At 47.4% G+C, this 27,868-nt stretch overlaps 2 protein-coding genes across 13 annotated transcripts in view, besides 1 other annotated feature; one reads left to right on the top strand and one right to left on the bottom strand.

The window, feature by feature from the left end:
• Positions 1 to 77: 77 nt before the first annotated feature.
• Positions 78 to 19,763, top strand: GBX1 (gastrulation brain homeobox 1). The gene is made up of 2 exons (NM_001098834.3): positions 78 to 761; positions 18,630 to 19,763. The coding sequence occupies exons 1-2, from the start codon at positions 224 to 226 to the stop codon at positions 19,181 to 19,183; spliced, it is 1,092 nt and encodes a 363-aa protein (NP_001092304.1). The 5' UTR covers positions 78 to 223; the 3' UTR covers positions 19,184 to 19,763.
• AGAP3 (ArfGAP with GTPase domain, ankyrin repeat and PH domain 3) overlaps positions 23,338 to 27,868 on the bottom strand; it is a 58,568-nt gene continuing 54,037 nt past the window's right edge. For 7 of the 12 annotated variants that reach the window (NM_001350103.2, NM_031946.7, XM_047419870.1 and 4 more), the window contains 6 exons: positions 27,656 to 27,793; positions 25,720 to 25,874; positions 25,519 to 25,609; positions 25,138 to 25,360; positions 24,176 to 24,431; positions 23,338 to 24,035 (listed from right to left, as the gene is read on the bottom strand). In NM_001350103.2, coding sequence (NP_001337032.1) covers positions 23,829 to 24,035; positions 24,176 to 24,431; positions 25,138 to 25,360; positions 25,519 to 25,609; positions 25,720 to 25,874; positions 27,656 to 27,793 — 1,070 coding nt within the window. In that variant the 3' untranslated portion in view covers positions 23,338 to 23,828. Of the gene's footprint in view, positions 24,036 to 24,175; positions 24,432 to 25,137; positions 25,361 to 25,518; positions 25,610 to 25,719; positions 25,875 to 26,895; positions 27,054 to 27,655; positions 27,794 to 27,868 lie in introns of those variants that run through there. The other 5 variants (NM_001350104.2, NM_001281300.2, NM_001350102.2 and 2 more) reach the window with 2 other exon arrangements.
• Positions 23,709 to 24,668: an enhancer, noted in NCBI's record as "H3K4me1 hESC enhancer chr7:150840191-150841150 (GRCh37/hg19 assembly coordinates)". NCBI's record gives its function as "activates a minimal SCP1, AML or CMV promoter by ChIP-STARR-seq in naive H9 embryonic stem cells {active_cell/tissue: H9 hESC(naive)}" and the evidence as "EXISTENCE:reporter gene assay evidence [ECO:0000049][PMID:30033119]".

Here is a 27,868-nt window from a genome sequence, read left to right as displayed (position 1 = left end):
GAGGGCGACACCCCCAGCCCGCCTGCTCGCCCGCCCCCTCCCTCCTTATGAGAGAGAGGGAGCGCGGCGCCGGAGCCACACTGCGCCGAGCCCGCGCCCCGCCGCCACCTCGGCCCGGGAGCCAGGGAGCGAGCCCTGCGTGTCCGCGCGGGGCGCCCGAGCCGCGGGGCGCACGGAGGCGCCCAGAGAGGAGCGCCCCGGGGCGGCCGCAGCTCCGAACAAGATGCAGCGGGCCGGAGGCGGTAGCGCCCCTGGGGGCAACGGCGGGGGCGGCGGCGGGGGCCCGGGCACTGCCTTCTCCATCGACTCCCTAATCGGGCCGCCGCCGCCGCGCTCCGGCCACTTGCTGTACACCGGCTACCCCATGTTCATGCCCTACCGGCCGCTCGTGCTGCCGCAGGCGCTGGCCCCTGCGCCGCTGCCCGCTGGCCTCCCGCCCCTCGCCCCGCTAGCCTCTTTCGCCGGCCGCCTTACCAACACCTTCTGCGCGGGGCTGGGTCAGGCTGTGCCCTCGATGGTGGCGCTGACCACCGCGCTGCCCAGCTTCGCGGAGCCGCCCGACGCTTTCTACGGGCCCCAGGAGCTCGCCGCCGCCGCTGCCGCCGCCGCCGCCACTGCCGCCCGAAACAACCCCGAGCCAGGCGGCCGACGCCCAGAGGGTGGGCTGGAAGCTGATGAGCTGCTGCCGGCCCGGGAGAAAGTGGCAGAGCCCCCACCACCTCCGCCTCCGCACTTCTCAGAGACTTTTCCAAGTCTGCCCGGTAAGTGCTAGGGCCGACCAGGGCTGGCGGGAGGCCGGTTCACCTGGAAATTCCAGACAGGAACCTGCTCGGAACCTCGGCACCTCGGCACCTGCCTGGAGCCTTGAAGTCCCAGACCTTTAGATCGCGCGCAGGTTCTGACTCCAATTCAGTTCCAAATACAGCCTCTTTAGATTCCAGAACCCCCGCCCTGCTCTGTCCCCATAGCCCTGAAGGCTAACCGAAGACTTTGCAGTGCTCCCTTCACATTAGTGCCTTTCCCTCAGCATCCTAGCCATCAAGACTTGGCCCTGTCTCCTTTTCAGAATTCCTTCATTTTTTTCCTCCTCTGTCAGGGGTAGACAAGCTACAAGGATGGGATTTCCGGGGGCACCAAGATGGGGGTATGTTGAAGCAGCTGTCAATTCAGCAATGGAGGGCACGTTCTGGCTTCTAAGGAGATCATACTGACCCTAAAGGCTCAAAGGATAGGAATAGGCTCTGTGGATGCAGGGGCAAAAAGAGTGTGTGTGTGTGTGTGTGTTGGGGGGGGGGGGTTGCGTCTCAAAGCCGTGACTTCTGAATTGGCAGATTCAGAGCTAAGCCTTGAAGAACTGAGTAGGGGGCCAAAGAGAACATTAGCTACAGGAGGCCTAGCACACGCTGGACAAGTGCTGACTAGGAGACCAAGAGAGAGGCTAAAGGCTGGGCTGAGTTGGGTGTGGCCCAAAGATCTAGGGTGCAGAACCCAGCTAAGATTCAGCTGACAGATAATTCAAGGGCCCTGGACCCTCCATGAATGGTGCCCTCTCCATAGAGGCAGGGTGTATTAAACTGAACCTTGTTTAGAGTCCATTCAATTAGAGCCCTCCTGACCTCTCTATTGGTCCTTAACTCCTAGAAGCCAGAAAAGCTTTCTTCTGGCTAGACAGATTCAGGTGTTCTGAGTTCCAAAGCTTATACAATTTGCTGGGCCCTATTTAAGAAAAATAGGCACCACTTGCAAGTGTGGGGACTCTGATGCTTCAACATCTTTAGTATCAGGATGGAACCGCTTCTGCTCAACCATTCATTGCATCCAGCTTAGAGGTGGAAATGACCCCAGTAGGCCTGGGAGCTGACTTGAACAGAGACAAGAAGGGAATGCAAGAGTGCTTTTGTCCTTTGCCAGCAGAGATAATTCTTGATTATCAGTTATGGGGCCCTTTCTGACATTGTCCAAAGGGTTAATCACTCTTTCAGACCCCAAAGGCTGCCATGGGGCCTGTCTTCCTATTCTTTTCTCCTTTCGCCCTGGCATTTTGCTTTTGGGGATTCAGCTGTTGTTTTCTTTTTTGTACCTGGTTGGATCAGGAAGACCCAGTAACTGAAGTCAGAATAGCATCTTCTAAGGGGGATCATAAGGAACAGATAGAGCAGCAACTGGAAGGTGGGAGAAAATGTCCACAAGATAAAAGGGCCCAGGGCGGGAGCCTGGAAGCCAGCAGGATGATCTTAAGAAAAAAAGATTAGTATGATTGTCAGAATAGGATGGTCCTAAGGCAGAAAAAAGAGTAAGACAGGCCATCAAAGAGATGACTTTGGAGGAGATAGGACCTGAAGGTGTAACCAGACACATATAGAAAGAGATGAGCTGAAGAGAGAGGATGGAGGGGGGATCCCTTGGTAGCGGGGACTTAGGGGCATATGCCCAAACTGTGGGACAACAAGCAATTTGTCCCACCCTTTCAGGTCTGCTCAGTTCTTATTTTGACCTATATGTATAATGGGAGCTCTTTTCTGGATCATATAGTATATTGGCTATAAAAACAGACATTGAGAAAGAGAGGAATAAGCAGAGAAAAAACAGAAGAGAAATACTGATGAAACAAGAATAGAGGAAAGGACCAGGGGATGAGTTGTATACTGGAATATACAAAGAGAACATGAAGAAGGAGAGGGTTCTCTGCTGGAAAAGGAACTCTGGACTGGACTAAATGAAAAGTGAACTGTATTACTGGACCACAAGTGTGAGTGAGTGTGTGTGTGTATGTGTGTGTGTGTTTGTGTGTGTGTGTGTAAGAGTTCTGTCATGAGAGGATTTGGGGGGAACTAAATAAAAATACTAGGGGAATAAGGAAAAGTTTCAACACTAGGAGTAATTTTCTTTAAAGAGTTTTTAATATTGAGAGTGAGGGGAAACTGGAATTTATATAAAATGACAGAGCTTCATCATCCGAGGAAAATGTTGAAAGCAAAAAAAAAAAAAAAAAAAAGAGGGAAATTTGTGTTGTTCTTGGAGTAAAGGCAAGGAATTTTTTTTGCCAAGAATAATGGAAAGGAGAACTTACAGAGGAAGAATTTTGAAAAAGTGCTGGAATAAAGGTAATCACTCATGCTGGGAGGAGATACATGTAAAGGGTTTATAGTGGGGAGGCTGGGACACAGTAGTAAGGAGGAGAGACTTCAGAAGAAACATTCAAAGAGCATGAGGAATGAGAGCTCCTATCTGTGACGGCTGCTTCTGTCACTCTCAGTAAACACGCTTCCAACTCTTCCTGGGCAAGCCATTCATATCCACCTTCCCAATCTTGAGTTTTTCCAGAAATCATTGAGAAAAGAAAATGCAATTCCAGAAATGAGAGACATAATATCAATTTGGGGACTGATGACACATGACCCAGGCTAAAACTGGTTGGAAAACAAATACTCTGTTTTGGGAATTGTATTAAAGTATTTGGAGTGAAATGACAGAGCTCTCTGCTGTGAATAATGGGATTGAAACCTCAACATTAGAAGAATTTGGAGAAATAATGCAATCTTTAAAATGACAGAGGAGAAATTGTTTTCCTTGTGTGAATGAGTGACATGGGTCTGAAATTATTATTAATTTACATTTGTTTAGTGTTTTACAACTGCTAACCCGTTTAAATAAAATCATAGTGTAGATAGGCCAATTTGGAGAATGATTAGTGATTTTCTTTGGGAATTACAGGGACTATTTTTTTTAATTTGTTGAGAGTTAAGACAGGTACCATTCTCTACTAGAACTGAGGAAGGATAAAAGGAACTTTGTTATGACTTGATTGCAGGAGTAGAAGCTATATTAGCAGGTGAAAAGAAATATGATATATAGAAGTAATTGGGTAGAAAGTTATTGAAAATGGTAGATTGAAAAGAATCACAAGTTTGGAATGTGGGAAGCAGTGGGGAAAATTGAGAGAATGTCTTTTAGTAAGAGTAATAAAGAGGAGAGAATTCCGAACTGTTAGGAAAGATTAAAGTATGACTCAATAGAAGAGCCCAAAGCAGTGCTGGCTAGTAGAGATATATGCAAGCCATATATGTCATTAAAAATTTTTTATTAGCCACATTAAAAAGATAAAAATAGGTAAAATTAATTTTAATTTTATTTAACTCAAGATGTCCAAAATATTATTTCAACATTAATCAATATTAACATTTTAATGATATAATTTTATATCTTCTTTTCATATTAAGTCTTCAAACTCCAGTGTTATTTTACACTTCCAGCACATCTCCATTTGGACTAGCCATGTTTCAGTTGGTCAGTAGCCACAGGTGAACAGTGGTGACCGTATTCAACATGACGGATCTAGAGAGTTTTAAGAACAGAGTTATGTGAAAGTGATGGAGGAAAAGGAGCTTTGAATTGGATAATGGGTCCTCAGTGTATTAGGAATAATGGAGAGAAGAGAGCAGGAAGCACTAAATGACAGGAGAGAACAGAATTCTGTCTTAGGTGGGATGGGCAGAGATTATCTCGTGTGTCTGACGGTTTGTGTGAGCTCTGGCTGAGAGTAATCAAAGCTAACTTGCTGTGTGCAAGATGTGGTGCAGATATGCATCACAGCAACAGTGGGTGAAAAGGACGCTATGTGCTGGGCAAATGATGAAAAGAGCCGTGAATGTGGAGAAATGTAGAAAGCTGGGCGCGGTGGCTCACGCCTGTAATCCCAACACTTTGGGAGGCCGAGATGGGCAGATCACCTGAGATTGGGAGTTTCAGACTAGCCTGACCAACATGGAGAAACCCCATCTCTACTAAAAATACAAAATTAGCCGGGCTTAGTGCCGCATGCCTGTGGTCCCAGCTACTCAGGAGGCTGAGGCAGGAGAATCACTTGAACCCAGGAGGCAGATGTTGCAGTGAGCCGAGATTGTGCCATTGCACTCCAGCCTGGGGGGCAACGAGCAAAACTCCATCTCAAAAAAAAAAAAAAAAAAGGCAGAAGAAAACTTTGAGTTGGGGGTGTCTAGAGCAATTATTCACTCAGGGGAAAAAGAAGATTGGATTGCCTGAATGCAAAAGCTTAGGAAGTGAGGAATGGTAGCTACTCCATATATATTTGTTAGATGGATGACAAAAATGTAGTGAGAGATTGACGTGAAAACTAATACCAGTATTGGGCATAGTGAAGAAAACATTTGTAGTTTAAGGTTATATAGAAGATATGGGAATATGATGGGACAAACTTGAGACATGCTGTTGTAGTAAACATTGTTTTTTTAAACTAAGCTTAAAAAGATTTGCTAATTTCTGAATACAGATTGGCAATAATAATTGAAATCATGCAAGGAGACCGGGGAGACTTCCTAGGAGCCTCGTATTCAAGTGCTGATTACCGTAAGCTAAGCACCTGAATGTAGCTAGGGAACATTTGGATGACCATTAATTAATTTCTGAATAGGTATCCATTATGATTGTCAAGATATGATATTTACTTATGAGAGGAAAACAGAAAATGATAATATGACGTGGAATTAGAGAATTATGTTGTTAGAAACAAGAGGGAGATTTTTGGGGGAAGTGATGGAGATCCAGAGTATGTTTTCCTAGAACTTTTGAGCATACAGTCAGAGTGATTGCTGCATTGACATTTATAGAAAGGCAAATACTGCATTAACTTAATGTGATTGATGGAACATTTGTTTAGGAGTTGTGACACGTGGATTCAATTCTCACCTTTGTCACTCATTAGTTGTATAATTTTGACAAGTCACTTAGTTCAATTCAGGGAACATTTATTGTCTGTCTATTACTACAGACTTAGTATATTTGAGACACAGTGGGAGATTCAAAGTCACATGACTTCTCTAGGCTTTGGTTTCCTCAGCTGGGCCAAAAGTTTTGGTTCAGATGATTTTTAATGTTCCTTTCAATTCTCTAGGCCTCAGTGTTTAAAGTAGAGCTCTCAACCTGGACTCCACAGACCTTTCATCAGGGGATCTGTTAGCTATGGGTGGGAGAAAATTTATACCTTTATTTTTTATCACTTCAACTATGAATATAGGCCAAAAATCATAGTTGTTTCAGCGTGCATGATGTTTTTGTCAGTGAAAGAAATCACAGATAGTTTGATATACATTTACAGTCTTTGGAGGGACCTTGTTTAATGAATAAAGAAACATGATTATATCACAAGTTCTGTTTTAAACTATATTTTAATATACTTGACTTCAAATGTAATACTATGTATTTTATGTTGTATGTCTAAAAGCATTATTCTAGAAAGTGTTCATAGGCTTTACCAGACTGACAAAGGACTTAAGGGCACAAAAGGGTGAAGAACCCCCTGGATCAGAGATAGACCTCAGGAGTGACAACAGGAAAATTTTATTAGGAGGATTAGAATCAGAGGCTAAGATGCCCTGTGCCATAGTGAAAGTAACCCTTCAGGGGTTGGCAGAGAGAAAGAGTCTCTAAGGTGGCACATGTAAATATGGAGATATATATAATAGATGATTAGGAGGAGGATTCTTATACTTGGAGTGGCAGGCATGAGTAGACTATACTGGGAATAATGCAGAGAGGTAATATTTGGAATAATGGGGGAAATATTTTAATTGGAAAGAAGGAAGAACATGCATTGTGAGCAAAGTGCTTTGCATTGAGAGAAATGTTACAATAGGAAGCAAGAATTCTGCCTGGGAAGTAATAGGAAAAGAAAAGTAATGGGAAAAGAAACTGATTTGGAATTAGGAAATAGAAGAGAAGTAATTGAGTAGATGTATAAAAGAGAGAGAGATTTAAACAGGAATGATGAGAAGGAAAGAATTTGGTGGGAAGAAGGAGGGAATGGGGAAATGCCCTGTGCTGGGGTAGGAAAGAAACTTTGTGTCTGAACCAGTGAAAAGGACAGAGCTCTCTATGCAAGGTAGTGCTCATAACCGACAAAAGGCCTGGATTAGGAGTGTAGTAAAAAAGAGGCGGGAAATTTTTTTTGGAAGTCTGAGCTTGTTGGGAGAAAGTTATCAGCTTAGAGTACTGTGGATGAAATGCTAATGTGCTAGGACTAATTGAGAGAAAGGGTGATAGGGAGAAGAGATGCTTGCATTTGGTGCAATAGAGGAGTGGCCTACACAAGTTGAATTCAGGTGTAGTAGAAAGAGACAGGTGCTGCAAGCAGTGTCTTCACTGGCCATTATAGAGGGGAAAGCAATGATCCTTATGTGATGAAAAGAATCTGTATTAGAAGTAGAGGGGCTATAGGAACTCAGATGAGGGTTATAAGCAAAAGGCACTGTTCAAAATATGAGGACTGGGAGGAACAGGAAAATACTTCTGACTGGGGATAATGGGAGGCAGATGTCTTGACTGAATTATGGAGAAGATGATATTATAATAGAAGTAATGGAGAAAACAGAACTCTGTAGTGGGAACAGTGGGAAGAGAAGTAATGCAGAGGTGTCTCCATTGAGGGAAGGAGATGTAATTACCCTGAGTGTAAAGGCAAGAAGTGCTTTGTGCTGCAATTAATAACTATTCTATGAATTATGTGTGGACACTACAAGTACATAAACTGATTAGCCTAAGCAAAGGAAGTGTCTTAGCTTCCTCATCAGTAAAATTAGGGGCTTGAATTAGGTGATCTCTAAGATTCCTTCCAGCTCTACAATTCTGTTTTTATCTATAAGGATATCTTTATTAATGAATTATTTCTTTTAAAAAAGAAAGGCATCCTGAGCGAAGGGCCTGGGGAAACTATACTTTTCAGTGGTGTTGTAGTCATGGAGGAGGAGGAGGTAGCAAGGTAAGATGCATGCATCTTGAGGTGAGATCAGGGCTGGTCTTTACGGTGGAAAAGGCTTGTCTTCTGGGATTGGGGAGGGCATACCCAAGCTATGACTGTGTATAGCTGTCACATTAAATGAGAGAGAGAAACATTTGATAAAGACGGTAGATTTTGTATAGGCCAAATAGATTGGGGATCAGTTGGGACCAACTTTAACTGGCGAGGAAGGAAGCACTGGAAAAGAAGAGAAGTTGTGTTGTAAAATTGGTTCCTGGCCTTCTATATTGTTTCTGTATCTGGAACAATATTTATGATAGGCTGACATTAGAATTCAGTCTCGTCCTAGTATGGTGGCTCATACCTGTAATCTCAGCTCTTTCGGAGGCCGAGGTGGATCACTTGAGTCCATGAGTTTGAGATCAGCCTGGTATAACATAGTGAGACCTTGTCTCTACCAAAAGAAATTTGCCAGGTATGGTGGTGTGTATCTCTAGTCCCAGCTACTCAGAAGGCTGAGGTAGGAGGATTGCTGGAGTCTGAGAGGTTGAGGCTTGAGGCTGCAGTGAGATTTGATTGCACTACTGCACTCCAGCCTGCACAACAGAGCAAGACCTTGTCTCAAAAAACAACAACAAAAATTCAGTCTCTGCCTGGGTGCAGTGGCTCATGGCTGTAATCCCAGCACTTTGGGAGGCTGAGGCTAGGAGTTCGAGACCAGCCTGGGCAACATGGCAAAATCCCGTCTCTACAAAAAATACAGAAAATTAGCTAGCAGTGGTGGCGCACACCTGTGGTCCCAGCTACACTGGAGGCTGAGGTAAGAGGATCCCTTGAGCCTGGGAGGTGGAGGCTGCACTGAGCCAAGATCATGCCACTACACTCCAGCCTGGGTAACGGAGTGAGACCCTGTCTCAAAAAAAAAAAAAAAAATTCAGACACTTTTTTTACATTAAATGTTAACAAAGAGATGAGGTGTAGTGCAAAGGAGCAAGCATGGGCTTTGGTCAGGAAAGCTGGGTACAGATGTTGGTGGCGCACTTTCTTTGTGATCTATAGGAAGTACTCACCTGTACAGTCTGTTTCCTCACCAGCAAAATAAGGACAGTAATATTTACCTCACAGGGTTAAGGATTAAATGCACAGATATTTGTGCAGCATCCTGAAAGTAATAGGTGCTCAAGAATTTATCCTTATTGTCCTTTTCTTGGAAATATGTGAGGCGCTTTCCTGGGAATTAAGTTGGGAAAGATCTTGTTACTAGGAATGGTGTAGGATAGGTGACACTCTATGTATTGAAAAGGACAAATATTTCTGGGAGTGATGATAGAGTAGTTCTGTGTTCTGAGAACTGATTATTCGGGGACTGCCAGGAAAGAACATTGTACTGAATCTAATTAGGGGTAGATTTCACATGTGTCTTTGGCTCTTTCTCCCTCTTTTCGGTTTCCCTGTCTCACATTTTGGTGTCCTCTGTAAATCCCAAGCCTGCTGAAAACCCCTTTACTGTGCCTCACTAGGGCCTGTTCTCCCTTTCTCTCCATTAAAAAAAAAACAAAAACAAAAACAAAAAAACTCTTCTTGTTTCTTTATCAAAAAATTTCTGTTCCCTCATATGTTTCATTTCAATTTGATGTTAAAATCAAAGCCACTGGATTAAACTAATTCACACTCAGGTGGGTTGAGATTTTTTAAAGTCCAGATGAATTTCAAACTGGTGGAATCTTATGTGGTATTACTATGAATAATTTTAGGTAATATGGAAACATTAGCGTGGATGGGAGAGTTGTGGGAGTGAGGTGGAGAGGTTTACTTTCCCTGGAGTCATGTGACCATTGTCTCTTCTGGTTACAGCATCGTACTTAGTCAGAACTCTTCGGGTTGGTAGTGATAGTGGCTCAGCTCTCAGCTAAAACGGGGATTTATTGCTTCTTGTAACTGCAAAATACCTGAGTGGATTCAGAAATGTAAGTAGTGTTGTGAGGTCTTTCTTTTTTGCTCCCAACCTGGCTCCTCTCTCTGTCTTCACCTCATTCTCTCCTTAAGACAGCTTTCTTCATTTAGCTAGAGGTAAGAGAAGGCACAAGCACATGCAGTTCTAAATTTTTATAATTTTATAATCCCAGGTTATAGGACCTGAGTGGATTCTAGTGTAAATAAAACCCTGGGATGACTAATTCGCTAGCTTGAATCATGACTCCAGGGAGATAGCATATTACAATTGGTCAGAACCAAGTCACATGCCCACCTTTAATCAGGAAGGTAGAGAAATGCTGTTGACAGTCCCACCAAGTAGTGGGTAGTGTAGCGGGGAAGCAGTACCTAAAGGAAGCGGGTACTGCTACTGAGCAAAAGGGGGAAGGTATGCTGGGCAGACAAAAACAACCCAAAACGGATGTCTACCTCAACCAGAAAGAAGGAAAAGAATGGGCCTTCAGCTCCCTTTCAGTATTAGGAAGAAATACTGAAAGGAAATCCTTTGTTTCCCCACTGGCTAGCTAAATAGTGATAAAGAGATCCTGGCAGTGAAGGTCTGAAGAGAGTTCTGTAATGAGGAAGGCAGAGAGAGATGAAGATAGTACAAAAATTTCCATCGCTCAGTGAGGCTTTCTGTTTGCTCTGATACCTATACGAGAAAGAGCTCTATGAGGAATGAGGGAGAAAGTTGTAAACTAGAAGCTAGAGAACATTGAGTGTTTTTGTTTGTTTGTTTGTTTGTTTTTGAGACAGAGTCTCACTCTGTTGCCCAGGCTGGAGTGCAGTGGCGCGATCTTGGCTCCCTGCAACCTCCGCCTCCCGGGTTCAAGCAATTCTCTTGCCTCAGCCTCCCGAGTAGCTGGGACTACAGGCATGTGCCACCATGCCCAGCTAATTTTTGTATTTTTAGTAGAGACAGGGTTTCACTATGTTGGCCAGGCTGGTCTTAAATTCCTGACCTCCTGATCTGCCCGCCTCAGCCTCCCAAAGTGCTGGGATTACAGACGTTATTATTTTCAAAGTTAGAAAATACACTTTTTTTTTTTTTTTTTTTTTTGAGACAGAGTCTCACTCTGTTGCCTGGGCTGGAGTACAGTTGTGCGATCTCTGCTCACTGCAACCTCTGACTCCTGGGTTCAAGCGATTCTCCTGCCTCAGCCTCCTGAGTAGCTGGAATTACAGGCGCGCACCGCCATGCCTGGCTAATTTTTGTAGTTTTAGTAGAAACAGGGTTTTACCATGTTGGCAAGGCTGGTCTCGAACTCCTGACCTCAAGTGATCCGCCTGCCTCAGCCTCCCAAAGTGCTAGGATTACAGGCATGAGCCACCGTGCCCAGCCAAAAATGCATTTTTAAATAAAAGAAGCACTGACTGGTAAGATTACATCATACAAACCAATAAGGACAAAAGAACGGGAGAAAGATTTGGTGGGAATTTTGTCTCAGGAATGACAGGAAAAGTAGCTTGTTAAAGGACAGGTGAAGTTTGGTGAGTGAAACGTCTCTGATGACAATTTTAAGAATCTTCTCTGAGAATGTTAAGGGAAGATATTAATGATTAGGCTAGGACTCTGTGGTAGTAAGTGAAAGGGATGAGATCTTTTTCTTTCTCTCTCTTTTTTTTCGTTTTTTTTTTTTTTTTTTTTTTTTTTTTTTTGAGACAGGGTCTCACTCTGTCGCCCAAACTGGAGTGCAGTGGTGTGACCTCAGCTTACTGCAACCTCCGCTCTCAAGTTCAAGTGACTCTCCCACCTCAGCCTCCCGAGTAGTTGGGATTACAGGTGTAAGCCAATGTGCCCAGCTAATTTTTTTTGTATTTTTAGTAGAGACAGGGTTTCATCATGTTGGCCAGGCTGGTCTCCAACTCCTGGCCTCAAGTGATCTGCCCGCCTTGGCTTCCCAAAGTGCTAGGATTACAGGTGTGAGCCACTGAGTCTGACTAAAAGGGGTGAGATCTAAACTTGGATTTGATAAGAAGGTTATTTATCTAATGAGACATCTGGGGAGAGGGCTTTTACAAGTGGGAGAGGAGGAGAAAATAGTTTACTGGAAAGAATGAAAACAGCGTTAACTGCAGCTTTAGGAGACTTGACATCCTGTCCCTCTCTGATGCTAGACCTGACACTCTGTCCCTCTCTGCGTGACTTAGGAAATCATTTAATCTGTCTGAAACTCCATTTTTTCACCAGAAAATAAGGTTACTACCTCTCCTATTACTACTAATAATAGATCTGCTCTACGTCAGTCAACTGCTTGAAGATAAGATAGTAAATGTGGAAAATGTTTTGAAAAGTTAAAGATCATACAAGAGTGCTCTTGGAAATGGCAATGTTAGTATGCCCTGAAAGGAGGTCTGAGCTTAAAATGGTGGGAAATTGCCCTGAACTTGTCATGAAGCTGGGAGGGGTTCTGGATGACAGTGATGTAAAGAAAATTTTTTTGACTTGGAGTAAAGAATGCTAAAGAGTCATAGGAAGAGTGCAGAGAGAGAGAGAGAGAAAATGAAAATGAATGTTTCCAATTATACCTAAAATTATAGGCAGGAGTAGGAGCATAATGGAAGCATGAAATTCATGAGAATGAGTGAAAAATAAACTGAGAGTGAACTGGCTGTTTTAAACAATCGGAGAAAGTACTGTTTTTGAAAAGAACAGAGAAATAATTCTGTATTGGGCATGATGAAATGAGGATTTAGAAGTGGGAGTGATGGCAAATATGTCTCTTTTTTGAGGAATGACCTGTGTTTCTTCCCACCTTTTGACCCCACCCAAACTGGAACTGGATTCAGGGAGATGAGTAGTTGGCCTGTGAAAATCAGGAAGAGATTCATTGTCCTAAGATGGGCGGACCAGGAGAGAACCTAACCTTTCCTAAGAGTGGTTGGGGCAAGTGTTAGGATAGTTGTTTTTGAAGTAGAGAGAAGATAAGTCAGAACTGAGGGGCTTCTCTTCTATGAATACTCAAGATAATTGATTTCCTACGGTGATAACAGCAGGAGCTGCAGTAATGGGGTGAATGAGGGACAGCACAGGGGCTAGATGAATTCCTGTAGTTGGGAGCATAAAGTTGTCCTCCACTCCCTCTGGCTTTTCCTCCTCCTCCTCGGTGCCTCTAGCGCAGGCCTCCCTGCCTAGATGGAGTGAGTCTAGGGCATTGTGTTCTTTCTGCTGGAGAACACCTACTATGGATTCTTTGGCCCTTGATTTCTTCCCTAGCCCGAACTGACCCATTACCGAGATGGCCTTCTTTCTGACTCTGGAGCTGCTCCCCTTCCTCTTAGAAGGAAGGCCCCATGCAAGCACGTCTCCTGGAGCATGAGTGCTGTTCTCTGGAATGAGATTAATGCCCTTGACGTGAACTCTACAAGTAATCAAGGTTCAAACCTTGTGATTTCTAGTTTTTAGGATAATAGCATCCACCAGGAGAATTCACATGAACTCTGTTTCCTAATGACCAGTCTGTCCTACCATCACTTCCCCTGACCAGAGGCCAAACTGTTTTTCACAGATTAGACTCAACCATAGGGAACAAGCTGGAAACTCAATATAGTCTTCTTATTACCAATAATATCATCCTCATCATAAAGGACAGAACCTTTCTGTCTGTTTGGCCTACTTACCTAGCACAACAAAATAGTTTAGATTTTTAAAATTTTCATTTTGCTGAAGTATTCTCATCAGAATCATTATTTCATTATTTTCCATAGGAAATTTTTTTCATGCAAACCAACAACTTGCAATTTTCCATGTAACATTTTTAATTCTTATTTATTTATCGTTTTTTGTTCATACCAACCAATTATACTGTCTGCAATTGGAAATTTACTTTTTTTTTTCGAGACAGAGACTCTGTCGCCCAGGCTGGAGTGCAGTGGCGCGCTCTCTGCTCACTGCAATCCTGCCTCAGCCTCAAAAGTAGCTGGAATCACAGGCGCACGCCAACACCCCTGGCTAATTTTTGTATTTTTAGTAGAGACAGGGTTTCACCATGTTGGCCAGGCTGGTGGTGAACTCCTGACCTCAGGTGATCCACCCACCTCAGTCTCCCAAAGTGCTGGGATTACAGGCATGAACCACCATGCCCAGCCAGAAATTTACTTTTATGAACATTGTATCTACCAAGTCCAGTTATTCTAAATCAAATTTTGCAAATAGAAATTTTATCAACAAGATTTGCTTCTTGCCAGCCATGGTGGCTCACACCTGTAATCCCAGCACTTTGGGAAGCCGAGGTGGGAGGTTTGCTTGAGTCCAGAAGTTTGAGACCAGCCTGGGCAACATAGTAGGACCCCAACACTGCAAAAAAGTAAAAAAAATAAAAATAAAAAAGTTAGCCAGCCATGGTGGTGTGCGCCTATGGCCCAGCTACTTGGGAGGCTGAGGCAGGAGGATCACTTGAGACCAGGAGTTCAAGGCTGCGGTGAGCTATGATTACTCTACTGCATTCCAGTCTGGGTGACAGAGCGAGCGCCTGTCTCAGGAAAAAAAAAAAAAGATTTGCTTCTTTCAATTTTTAGTCAATAGCAAATTTTTATGTGCAATTTTTATTTTTTACTATTAATATTCATTATAAATTGGATAAAAGGAAATATTTTTATTTCTTAGCTAATTCCAGAGAAAATAGTTAGCTGTTTTGAAATTTCCACATTGTAAAGGATTGCACTACTGTTTTGCTCATTCTCTTTCTCTGCCTGTGTCTTTGGCTACTGCAGTCTACAGTGCTCCTTCTCTTGGGGCAGCAGAGAGCAAATGGCAGGGCCAAAATGTTTTGCTTTGCTTCAAATGTATCAGTATTCTGGGGGGAAAGGTAGATGAGGCATTTCTTAAAAAGTACCTTTTGCTTTCTTTCCCCTGATTTTTCCCATATTTTCTCTCTCCCTTCTCTAGACTTTTCAGCCCTTTTATTTTATCTGACTCATCATTTAATTTTTCTGCTATTTCTCTACCCCACTTCTTTCCTTCCCCAGTCTTCTTTCCACCTGCCTTGGCCTTTCCTTCTCTCTCCCACTCCTTGTCGGTCTTCCTCATTGTCCCAGACTCTCCTCTGAGGCATGTGGCTGTATTTTCTCCTCTCGTTGCTTTCTTCTATTGTCCCACCCCATTTCATTTCAAGAGTTGCTTATCAGAGTCTTCAATGTCATGATTATAAAGGCTCAGAGAGAAACTCTTGCCCCTGCCGCTCAGCATCCCACTGGGATCAAGTAACCAAGAGAGGTTGTGAACCTGTGCTCCTTGTATGGCTTTAAAAGCAGCACTGAGGGTGGCCGGCTCATGTGGGCTTCATTTTATGGATCTGTCTGAAGACAGAGGGATGGATGATACGATCTCAGGAGGGCCCTGCCAGATCGGGAACCTGGGAGCCTCATCTCAATCATCATCAATTTAGATTTATTGGACACCCCCTGGGTGCTTGGAGTTGTACTAACTGATTTTATCCTTCAAGCCTCGAAGTCTAGTTTCTGCCTTTTTAGCACTGTTTAACATATTGTAATATTGGGCTGAGTTTGTACAAGCCTTTGTTATTCTTTTTGTTATTATTTACTACAAACTATGTTTTAAAAAATTAAAATAGAGGATTTACTAATGGTATTAGGATTGTCCTTAATTTCTTTAAGCATCCTATAGATTTTTAAGATCCTATAGATTCCTACTGCATATGAATTCCTCTCCAGCTAATGTGAGATCTGAGGGCATTCTGAAAAGTGGGAAGGATAACATTCATAGGGAGATGTCTTATGCACTGGAGCTGGGCGGGGTGGGGTTGTGGGGAATATCGTCGGAGAGGCTTAGGAAAGGAAAGGACAGGGAGGGAAAGAAAGACGGGGAGCACATGCATGAGCATTTGGAAATCGTTTCTTTTATTTAGTCAACAGATGCTTATTGAGTGTCTACTCTGTATTGAGTGTCAGGTCATTTTCAAGACACTGAAGATATTGCAGTGAATGAGAAATATTCAGAATACCTACTTTCACGAAGCTATAGTCTATTAGGAAGAGACAGCCAGTAAAATAAATGAATAAAATTGGTAAAATGGACCAAAGTAACAAATAAATCGGAGAAAGGACATAGAGAGTATCAGAGGGTTTAAATTTTAAAAGGATGACCAGGGGAGGTGTCACTGATAAAGACCTGAAAGAGGTAGGGAATAAGCTAGTGCAAGATCTAGGTGAAGAGTAGTGTATTCCAGACAGAAAGAGGAATCATGGGCCAGGTGGAGTGTGGAGGACAGAAGCTGGGAAACCAGTTAGAAGATGACAGTGAACCAGGTCAGAGATAATTGTGATGTGGACTAGTTGGAAGCGGGAGATAGGGAGAAAGGATTGGGCTCTGGGGGTATTTTAAAGGCAGCAGCACTAGCAGGGCTTGTAGATGGACTGGATGTGGGTTGTGAGAGAGAGGAGTAAAAAGATGGCATCGAGGTTAGGTTTGAACACACAGAGGATGCAGTTGCCATTAACTGAGATGGGGATGATGTGGATAAAGATGAGAAAGAGCTGGTTTGGGGGAATGATCTGATTGGAGTTCAATTTGGGGCATGTTAAGTTTGAGTTCTGTGGAAGTGGAAAATAATGGGAGAAGAGACCTTAATGAAATGAAGGAGGAAACCAAGGATGTGAATCTTAGAGAAAACAACATAGATTTGGCTAGGGGTGAGATAGAGGGGAAAGAACAGGCTGATGGGAGACATTATGAGGGGCGAATTAGCTACAGACAGGATACAGTACTTACCCAGATGGGTCTTGATGCTGGGCGCCAGTGAAGCCTGAGCAAACTAGTAAAGAAGAACAAAAGCCATTGGCTGGTGAAAAGCAATGTACAGGAGTGGCATGGGAAGACTGGGGGAGCCCAAACTGGGGCATGCCGCATGGACTTTGAGAAGGTTAGAAGAAACAGGAAGCACTCCAGAAAGAAAAGGAGAGGGATGAAAACACCTTCGAGGTATGAAGTTGATTGGGATGTAGATGGGTGATGTGGAAAAAGGTTGAGAGTTCTGGCCACTAAGGAAAATGTCAGCTGGGCGCAGTGGCTCACACCTGTAATCCTGGCACTTTGGGAGGCCAGGGCTAGAGGATTGTATGAACCCAGAAGCTCAAGGCCAGCCTGGGCAACATAGTGAGATCCTGTCTCTACAAAAAAATAAACAGAATTAACCAGGCATGGTGTGTGCCTGTGGTCACAGCTACTTGGGAGGCTGAGGGTGGAGGATCCCTTGAGCCTGGAAGGTCAAGGCTGCAGTGGGCCAAGACTGTGCACTATACTCCAGCCTTGCTGACAGAGTGAGAGTCTCACTCTGTCTCAAAAGAAAGAAAGATAGGAAAGATAGGAAAAGAAAATGTCAATGTGGCTGTTGAGGAAAAAGACCAGGTGTAGACTGCACCTGTGAGGGGGAAGGGAACTTGGCAGGGGGTGGGGCGGGGTGTGCTGAAGGAGAACACCAGGAAGCTCTGACTGCCAGGAGATGTTCTATCTGTGAACACACACACCCTCTTTCTCTAATAAAGCCTTTCCCCGTGCCCTGAATTTAGTTTACTTGGAGTTGTATTCTCAACCTCTGAGTCTGCTTATCTCAGGCATATCTGATATGTGGCCGATACAGGGAGATGCATTCCTACATATAGGTATGCAGGCCTCCTGCCTTTGCACAGTGGACACTTCTGGAAAGGAGCTGACTATTCAGCTTACAGATTATCCATTTTCTCTTGTTCTCCTGCCTATTGATTGTCTTTTGACTTGTTTCACTGCTTTTTGGTCCTTTGAGTAGAAAACGGAGTTTGTAAAACTCACTGAAAACATGTGTAATGCATTATTTGCAGTTCTGATATAAACATCATTGGATACAAAGATTAAAACCAATGGTTGAATTAAGTTTTAGAATTGTGTGGATTAAAATGTTTATATGCTTGTGATTACAAATAATCAGTATTCTACTGAATCAAAATTTCTTTTTTACCCTTTCCTTCTCTTCATTTGTCCCTGTTGCACTTTTCCCTCTTCCTCCTCCTCCTCCCATATTCCTTCCAGTCCTCCCAGCTGACATCAAGCTTAGGGGCCTCAGGATTCTGAACTTGAGCAGAAAACAGCTGTTTGTGCTGCTCAGGCATCCTTGGCTGGGGAAAGGGGAAGGTGGGAAAGAGATGGTTTCATTTTAAGGTCAAGGGTAAGGATTGAAAGGGGATCAGGAGGCCTAAGTAACTGGGAGAAAAAATCTGGCCACACTCAAGGTGCTGCATGGCTGGGAGCCATGGAAATGAGGTTCAGGGACTGCAGATCTAGGGAAGAGGGAGAGGAGGAGACAGAACAGAGGCCATGAGACAGCTCTCGTCAGCTGGGCCAGATGAGGACTCCTAGGAGAAGTGCAAAGGCTGAGCCCTTCTCTCCCCGTCTGTCCTGCCAAGGTCAGTTCTTCTGCATTGCTTCACTCCTCCCCCCAGTGGCTCCAGAAGGATCCCAAGCCGGGTCCCATACTGCTTCATTCTGGCACCTGAGGCTGCGAGGCCTGGCTCTGGAGGGGTGGTATATCACTGCGATGCTGGGCCCTTGGTCTCTAGGTTCCGAGAAAGCTGGGGAGGTGGTGGGTGCGAATGAGATGGGGGTGGTGGGGAAGTTGAGGGGTCATTGTCCACACACTTATTGCCTCCCACACTTTTCCGTAGTGAAATCTGTGCTGGTTAATACCTTTCTTCCCATTTCTTTGTTTTCCCTAAACCTCTTCCCATTCCATATCCTGGACATACCATCCTTCTGCCTCCTGTCCCTCCCCATCTTCTCCTCTCCATGGCTCTCTTTTTTCCTGCTCTTGTCTCCCAACCCCCCATTTCTGGCCATGGTTCCATGGGCCTCCTCCAAACTCTCTTTTTCTTGCTTCTCCCTCCCCATCCATTGGCTTCTTGCTCCTCACAGCAGAGGGGAAGGTGTACAGCTCAGATGAGGAGAAGCTGGAGGCATCAGCAGGAGACCCAGCAGGCAGCGAACAGGAGGAAGAGGGCTCAGGCGGTGACAGCGAGGATGACGGTTTCCTGGACAGTTCTGCAGGGGGCCCAGGGGCTCTTCTGGGACCTAAACCGAAGCTAAAGGGAAGCCTGGGGACTGGAGCTGAGGAGGGGGCACCGGTGACAGCAGGGGTCACAGCTCCTGGGGGGAAAAGCCGACGGCGCCGCACAGCATTTACCAGCGAGCAGCTTTTGGAATTGGAGAAGGAATTTCATTGCAAGAAATACCTGAGCTTGACAGAGCGCTCTCAGATCGCCCACGCCCTCAAGCTCAGTGAGGTGCAGGTCAAGATCTGGTTTCAGAATCGACGGGCCAAGTGGAAGCGCATCAAAGCTGGCAATGTGAGCAGCCGTTCTGGGGAGCCCGTAAGAAACCCCAAGATTGTTGTCCCCATACCTGTGCATGTCAACAGGTTTGCTGTGCGGAGCCAGCACCAACAAATGGAGCAGGGGGCCCGGCCCTGAATGGGCACCCAAGAACTTAGGAAGGCGAGGGATCTGTACCTGAGCCTGCTCTGAGACTGTCAGGGTTCTGTGGACCAGAGGGGCTGCAACTGTGATTCTGCCTTGAGAGGGGCTAGTTGGCAATTAACCTAGCCCTGGGTGTGCTCTTCCCAGACTCCTCCCAGAACCTGAGATGTGAGCACTTGGCCCTGAGCCTGTTCCAGAGAACTTCAGGACTAGGGGCTTCAAGGTTAAAGGGGCTGGGGTTCTATTGCTGAGGAGCTGTTGGGACTGAGGTGGACTCCTGGGGAGGGGGTGGGTTCTAAGATGCCTAAGGCCTGAAGGTTCTGTGGCAAATGCCCTGGAACAGCTTCTGATGGGTGGAGGGAACAGGCGATACCTAGCCAAGTAGATCGCAGCTCCTTATTTATTTGTGTAAATGTGTATATATGGAGCTATCTGTCTCTGTACGTCTGTCTGCACCCCTGAGAGGGATTGGGAAAGTTGTTTCCTCAATCCTCAGCCAGAGTTCGTCTGTCCTACTGCTTTGGGGTAGGCCCCATCTTGCCTCTCTTTACAAAGAAATGAAATGCAACCGTCACTGGCCTCTGTAGAAATTCTTCAGCACTCCCCTATCTCCCCCACCCCACGTTAACTACCTCTACCCCCATGCTTTTCCACTAGGGCTGCTCACCGCTTGCTCTTGTTTCTATACCTCGGGCTCCTAACGTGCCATCTCTTCCTGCTTCCCATTAAACAGGCAAGCTTCTCCAGCTCTGTTTTCTCCTCCTTGGATGAGCTGGAAAACTTTGGGAGAGATTCACTTCACTTCCTGTTGCATTTAGGTGGGGTATGTCCAAGCCATCTAACTTAGGGGGAGGTCACTAATGACTGGGGCACTCATATCACCCGTGAGCTCATGAATAAATTGTTTTCTATGCAGAAGACACGGCAGCTTAGTCTGTCTCTGCCACCCTTTGATATTCCAGATGCAAGGGCCTAGAGGGAAGGACCCACTTCCAGTTTTCTGTTCTTACAGCATTAACTATCATCTCTTCTTCTCCTCTTTGCACCATTTTTGAAGCTTGGGATACCCCTACCTCTTCTGTTACAGAATAAGATTGGTTGAGGGGGGCCATGGCTAAGTGGATGGGACAGGAATGAATTTGTGTGATAGACATAGCAGAGGCTTGGGGATTGGAACAGCATTAGTGGACAAAGTGAACACAGGGAGCAGTGCTCACAGATCCATCTGCAGACAGCAGGCAAAGGGCACAGAAACCAGTGGAAGTTGGTATCATGGTAACTGGGCTTCCTGGGAAGAAATATGACCTGTGTTGATTTGGGAGGGGAGATACAGTAGAGAGCAGAGCCATCGAGAAGAAAAATGGGCTGTGAATGAGGCAAAGAAATTCAGGAAATGAAGGTATTAATGTCAGGAAGGGGAGGGAAGTACAGCTCAAATACCTGGCCTCCTTACTTTCCTTAGAGGGAAAGCTTCTGGCTATTCCTGATTCCTGGAATGGAAGACTTATCAACGTCTCATCACCCTGACATGTGCTGGACACTTCTTATGGCGAGACCAAGACAGCTCTCCTTGGCAGCTCATTTCTCCCAGCTGGTTTGGGCAACCAAACAAAGCAATCTGGAGCCGTGACTGGTCATTAACAATGGTACCACAGTTCTCCAGCTAGGACACACAGAGCTAGGGCAGATCTTCTCTATTTTTTGGCTAATTTCAGCAGGGCTTGAGAATTAGGCTAAAAATATGTAGTCCAGACCAGCCCCATTCCCAGCCTGGTCTAGATCAAGGCTAAGTCTCCTTAGATTCAGCCTTCACAGGGAACCTATGGGGTTAGAACCTTTTTTTTTTTTTTTTTTTTTTTTTGAGATGGAGTCTCGCTCTGTTGCCCAGTCTGGAGTGCAGTGGTGTGATCTCGGCTCACTGCAAGCTCCACCTCCTGGGCTCACGCCATTCTTCTGCCTCAGCCTCCCGAGTAGCTGGGACTACAGGCGCCTGCCACCACGCCCGGCTAATTTTTTGTGTGTGTTTTTAGTAGAGATGGGGTTTCACCGTGTTAGCCAGGATGGTCTTGATCTCCTGACTTCGTGATCCACCCGCCTCGGCCTCCCAAAGTGCTGGGATTACAGGCATGAGCCACCTCACCCAGCCGCGGTTAGATCTTTCTTTTTAGGAGATAAGCCAGGCAGAGGTTGAGGATCACAGGAGCCATTGTCATTCTGGCACGGCTGGAGCAGAGTTTCTGTGGCCATGTGTCCCCTGTGGTGGCAGGCAAGAGAACACCTGGGCAGGAAGGCCACAGATGAGAAGCAGCTCAAACCAAGGCCCCAACCTGCAGGGGTTTTTCTGGCTCTACCTATGAAGCCTCCTAACCTGTTCAAAGCAGTATTCAACCAGCCGAAGCAGCTTGTTTTCCACAGGGAATCTGGAGGTGACTATTGCTAGTATTTGGAGCCCAGGAACCTATTCCTACACATACCCATGGCCCTGTCTCTATTTTGCCCTATCTACATGTAAGGTTTGTGTCAGCCTTGCAAAAGGGGCTGTGGGCTGAGAAAATAAAGCCTGGCTTCCTCTCTGAAGAGTGTTACTTGCCTACCTGCACAACACACCAGCCCACCACACCCAACATATTATGCTCATGGTGCTTTAGAAAGGGCCTATGTCAGGTCTGTGGGAATTTTTTTCCCCCCCCGAGATGGAGTCTTGCTCTGTCACCCAGGCTGGAGTGCAGTGGTGCAATCTCGGCTCACTGCAACCTCCGTCTCCTGAGTTCAAGCAATTCTCCTGCCTCAGCCTCCTGAGTAGCTGGGATTACAGGCGCCCACCATTACGCCTGGCTAATTTTTGTATTTTTAGTAGAGACAGGGTTTCACCATGTTGGCCAGGCTGGTCTCAAAAACTCCTGACCTCGTGATCTGCCCACCTCGGTCTCCCAAAGTGCTGGGATTACAGGTGTAAGCCACCGCACCTGGCCTGTGGGAGTTTTTTTTTTTTTTATTTTAAAAAAAAAGAGAAGACAAGGGCTACCAGCAATGTGGGTCCAGGAATGGGACAGCAAGAGACTCCTCAGAGAGCCAGGACTCTAACTAACTTAGCAAGTTCTCATCCTTTCAGAACCAGCAGGGAGAAGCATTTCCCCCAGGTCTTCCTTCTGGACTAAGGGATTCAGTCAGAAGGAAAAGCAGGAACTCTGGATTCTGCCCCCCAGCTTGGCTTGGCAAGATGGTGGGAGTTAAGGCAGCCATTCTTGTGTCAACCACCTACCTCCTCCCCTTTCCTCACAAGCAAAGCCCAGGCACAAGTCAGTCTATGCTGTAATACAGCTATCTGGAGAGAAGTGCTGCCACTTACCTGCGGCACCCTCAGTTCTTCTCCAGGGTACTGACTCAAGTATCTCCCTGTACATCCTACTGTATGGCCATTCCCAGACTTGTAGGAAAGGGGCAATGCTTATGCCCACTTTCTGGGTGCATTCTGGCCAGTACAGGGTGTGGCAACAAGCTTACTACATAGAATACTGATGACAAATGAAGAGAGCAGCTAGAAAGGCTACCTGACGGCTGGGCATGCTGGTTCATGCCTGTAATCCCAGCACTTTGGGAGGCCGAGGCGGGTGGATCACCTGAGGTCAGGAGTTCGAGACCAGCCTGGCTAACATGGAAAAAACCCATCTCTACTAAAAATACAAAAATAAGCTGGGCGTGGTGGTGGGCGCCTGTAATCCCAGCTACTCGGGAGGCTGAGGCAGGAGAATCGCTTGAACTCGGGAGGTGGAGGTTGCACTGAGCCGAGATCTCGCCACTGCACTCCAGCCTGGGCGACAGAGCAAGAGACTCTGTCTCAAAAAAAAAAAAAAAAAAAAAAGCTGCCTAAAGGTGGGGGAGGCAGCACCCAGTAGGAAGCAAAGAACTCTGTGTCCTCTCTTCAGGGGCCCTGTGCTGTGCTGCTGAAAACTCAACCACACCCTGCCAAGGGAAGGCCGAAAGAAAGCAATGCGCATAGAAGGATGAGGAATGACCACCTGGGACCCAGGCGAACAGAGGGAAGAAAATCTTAGAACATGGCAAACAATGAGAAGAAAGGGATAAGGAGAGAGCAGAGCTGAGGGACACGCTTGGGAGGGCAGCGATGTAAAAGGGGGAAACAAGGCCACGCACACAGTCTGGTTTATTGGCTCATCATACACACACACATCAAATATGTACACAAACATAAATATTCCAATGTACAAAGTTTACATGGGACTCACAGATCACCCCTCGTCTCTTTCATCCAGCACCCCCAACTTGGTGCCGTCCTCTTCCTGTTTCAGGATGAAGGCGTGTGAGGGGCTGGCACTAGGAGGCAGGGATCTGGAGGAGGGAGAGGTCCTGCTCCCCTCTCCTCACAGGCACCTCCGAAGGGTCCTGTCCCTTTTCAATGGCACCTTAGGGCAGAGGGCTAAATCCCTCATCCCTCTCTGCTGCAGCTCAAATCCCCAACTCTCCTTGATCCCTTTGACTCTCCTCCCTAATTTCCTTGGCTTCGTCCTCTCAGCATGTCCCTGCTTCTCCATCTCTGTGTCTGTTCCCACAGTGCCTGCAGGGAGGAGGGTCTTTGGGCCATGGAGTCCTTCTGGCCCCTCTGCCCTCTTCCTGGGCCTTATAGGAGGCTAGGACTACGGTGCAGCTCAGCAGAGGGGTTGGTGCCATTGGCAGGCTCTCTGTTGGGGGTAGGCGCTAAGCCACAGCCCTCCCCAGGGCAGCCATGCTGGATCAAGATGTCTGCACACTCCTGGCTGCCGGCCCGGCGAGCATATGCCAGTGGAGTCAGGCCCCGGGCGTCCCGGCTCCTCACGTCCACCCCGTACTGTAGGAGAAAACACATGTTGACAGTTGGCAAGACATGGGAGGAGAGAGATTGGTTGTAGGGGAGGAAAGAAGAGGTTGCTTTCAAAGAACAAGGCTAAGAAGAGCGAGGTCAGGGCAGGCTAGAGGCACGTGACTCACCCAGATGAGCAGCTGCGTGAAGACAACGTTGGCCATGGCACTGGAGAGATGTAGAGCCGTCCGCCCGTCCCCGTCCCCATAGGTCTCATTCACCTCCTCTTTGGAGCCATGTGCCAGGAGCATCACCAACAGCCGCAGGTCATCTTCCACCACGGCCCGGAGCAGCTGCTGCCCCAGTGGCACATCTGAGCTTGGCAGTGGGGCCAGGAAGAGCTTCTGTTCATACTTGGCCCGTATCCAGCGTTCCTTCTCCTCTCTGCAACCACAGGCCCATCAGGGCATGAGCCAAGGAAGGTCACCGAGCAACGGGTGGGGCCAGGAAGGTGGGCAGGAAAGGAAGCGAGCACCCGGGGGAACAAGGAAGAAACAGTGAGAGAAGATGAGATGGAGCAAAAAGGAAGGAGAGAAGCCTTGGAAACTCCAGGCACACAGAGGGGCAGTGGGTAATGGAAAGGGGGGTGGGAGAAGCTGAAAGGAAGGGACACTGAAGGGAGGCCCCCTGGGGACAGTGGGGATGCGGGGGCTGAGAGGGCAGGAAGATTCCAGGCAGGCCCGTGTTGCAGCTTATCTGGCCGTCTGAACTCTCTTGGATTGGCAGTGCTGGAACAAAGCGGGTGGGGGCCTGCACTGGGGGGCCACACACTCCCCTATCTCTCACCCATTCTCCCCATCTCAGAGCTCCGGAGTGGGCGCTCTGCACCACACCGTGATAGGGGCCCTGCGCATGCGCCTCCTGCTGGCCCCTGACCTGCTGATAACGCTCAGAAAGGGCCCGTTGTTGTGAGGCGCCTGAGTGACAGGCACCAGAGCAGGAGGGGCACCCCCAAGGGGCCAACTGCCAAGCAGAGCAACAGACAGTTTTAACCCTTCTAATACCATCACAGCCACTCCAATCTTCCCCATGCTGGGAGCCCCCAACGCTTCCCCCATTCCTGGCCAGCTCCAGGGCACCATCTGCTCACCTGCAGGCATCAGGCCCTGGCTTGGAGTAGCCACCCAAGGCCCCCTCCCAGACGCTGTTGGCGAGGGCATTGCCCATGGCAGTCATGACAGCCAGCAGCTCAGGCGGCCAGTCATCGAGGTCAAGGGAGCGCACCCGGGACAGGTGAGCCCCCAGGTGTCGGTGGATGCCTGAGCACTCAATGCACATCAGGGCACCCAGGTTCAGGCTGGCCCAGTCTGGATCTAGGCAAGGAGAGGAGAATGATACAGCGACAGCAGGCAGGCCACCAGAGCGCGGGACAACTAGGGAAGGCTTCCCTGCCCTCTTCCCTGCTCCCTGATGCTTGCGAAGCTTTCCCTGGGCCATCCCCAGCTCCCAGCCCCACCAGCCTTGCACTCACTGGGTGCATCGCAGTCGATACAAAAGCTGTTGCCGCGGACGGTGCGGACGGCCTGCACAGCCAGAGCTGCGTTCTGGTTCCCCAGTCGAGTCTGTCGCACAGCAGGAGAGACAAGACAAGGGGCGGTTGGTCAGTCATGAGGCCCCTTTCAGTCCCACCCCAGCCAGGTGCTCTGTGTGGGCCCAGTCACTCTGTACCCACCTTGTCCTTGGCACTGCGGCAGCCTTGCAGGCTGGCAAGGATCTGGGCCTGCACACTCTGAACCCACAGCTCCCGCTCCTCCGCCGTTGAAGCCTCGAAGTGCCACGTCTGCCCAGTGAGGGACACCACCACAAATTCAAACGACTCCTCTGCCTCTGTTGGGGGGGTGTTTATGCCATCAGGGCTCCTGGCCTGCGTGCACACCCAGGGCATGCTATCGCCACAACTCCACTCACTACCCTGCTCCACTGGCAAGTGTCCTCCCCTAGACCCTTCCCCAGCTGCAAGGCCACACACTCCAGGACAGCTTGCAGGGGGAGGCCAGAGTAAACCTGCAAGACTAGTGTGAGCTCCCAGTTCTCATTCCTAACCACCTGTGGAGCTTAAGTGAAAACAGATGGGGGATGCAAGATCTTGGCACCCCTGGCACTGCCGGGAATGGGTGTGAAACCAGAGAGGGGTGCATCCCACAGAAAGAGCTGAGTATCTGGAGAAGGATGTGACGGGGTGCTAGGAGGCAAACACTGGGAGAGGGTGGGGGAAGGCGGGTGTGGGCACCATCCGTACATGTCAGCTGCAGCCGCCTCATTTTGCAGCTCATTAAACCCAATATTCCTGACGGCGTCAGCGTGGGGCTCCTGGGAGCTGGGCCCCTCCCCCACTACCATGGCATAGACAGGCAGGAAGGGCAAGTGGATGGGGGAGAGGAGGAGAGGTTTTCTACAGGACCTGCAGTATGTGAGCAAATAGGGGCCTGAGGGCATCTGTACTGACAAGCACTGAGGGCTGGACTGTGAACCCAAGCAATGTGGTGAAGCTCTTCCAAGCTCTGGTCCCCCAGGCCCCAGAAGACAGCCGCATGAATCTCATTCCCAATGGTCACTGCCCCATGGGTGAACAATTCCTAACAAGCAGTGTGACTGTGTCCTGGGGGCTGGAAAGACAGCACAGGTGCCTGTGGTAAGGCCCCAGGGTGAACCCCAGTTCTGCCAAGGCCATCTCTGCTTGTAAGTCCTCACTGCATCTTGGCCCCAGGCAGCCTCACCTCAGTGACACCGACATCCCCTGGAATTCCTCCTCTGCTGGGCCCTTGCTCTCAGGGACTGTTAGCAGAACTGCCTTCCCACAGAAATAGAACCGGCGCCTCCTTCCCCAGGCACCACCACTGCGCCTCACCTTGCTTTCAACCACAGCCTTCGAACTACGTGATCTCCATGATCATTTGTGGGGCTTAGTCTGCCGGACCAGAAGGGAGACCCCACGCTGTAAGTACTAAGCATCACTGTGTCACAGGTTGGCTAGGTGTCTCTGCTCCCCTGACCCATACGTCTACCCTGATGATTAGAGCAGAAGTGAGAAATTATGAGTCTGTAGAAGTTAAACTTATTTGGGAGCAAAGAAACTCCAATCACCAAGAAGAGGGAGGTTTTGAAGATACTTTGAGGAAAATCTGAGGAGCAGCAGTATAATTAATAGAGGAAGAGAAAGGTCCTATGGAAGAAGGCTTCAGGACCTGGAATTCCTTAGCCTAAGGAAAACTAATGAGAGACTCAGCCAATCTGTACACATGTATTACGCACCTAGTAAGTACCCAGCACTTTATTAAACTCGGTATGACACAAGAGACAGAAAACACAGGTCCTGCCCGAACATCTTAGAGGAGCTATTGATGTAGCAGTCTGCTGTCTTTTACCTTAAGAATAAATGAAGTAAGCCCACATTTCAACAGAAAGGGTTTCAGTTATCAGAAGAACTTTTCTAAGATACCAGGTCTAGATTACCAAAAGAAGCTGTAGAACTACTTTGATTAGCAACTACTAGAAAGTGCTTAATCCACTGAATACAAAAAATAAAAAATAGGTGTTACTTTTAGGGTACTATCCCCAAGTCCCACTGCCCACCTCCTGTGCCCGGTTTCCCTCTGGGTCCCCCTAACCTTCAGTAGCACTGCTGGGGCCGTCTGGTCGGGGGGTCCCGGTGCTCTTTTTCCTCCGGTGCTTCTTCCGGTTGGAGTGGGGAGATGGGGGAGGATCCAGCTTGGGGCTGGAACTGAGTACCTCAGCTGGGCCACTGGCTGGTGAGGGGAGAGTTGGAGAAGTGTGGGAAGAAGGGAGGCAGAGGAGGGGAGGGGCGCAGGGCACTGGGAGGA

The sequence above is a fragment of the Homo sapiens genome, chromosome 7 (assembly GCF_000001405.40).
Source record: "Homo sapiens chromosome 7, GRCh38.p14 Primary Assembly".
Taxonomy (NCBI): domain Eukaryota; kingdom Metazoa; phylum Chordata; class Mammalia; order Primates; family Hominidae; genus Homo; species Homo sapiens.
The sequence above is the reverse complement of the archived record's forward strand: the minus strand, read 5'-3'. Positions and strand labels throughout refer to the sequence as shown.

Bases quoted from the DNA above. Each gene is read 5' to 3' on its own strand.
- GBX1 (NM_001098834.3), top strand. From the start codon at position 224: ATGCAGCGGGCCGGAGGCGGTAGCGCCCCTGGGGGCAACGGCGGGGGC. The intron at 762-18,629 runs GTAAGTGCTAGG...TGCTCCTCACAG, and splicing joins GACTTTTCCAAGTCTGCCCG to CAGAGGGGAAGGTGTACAGC.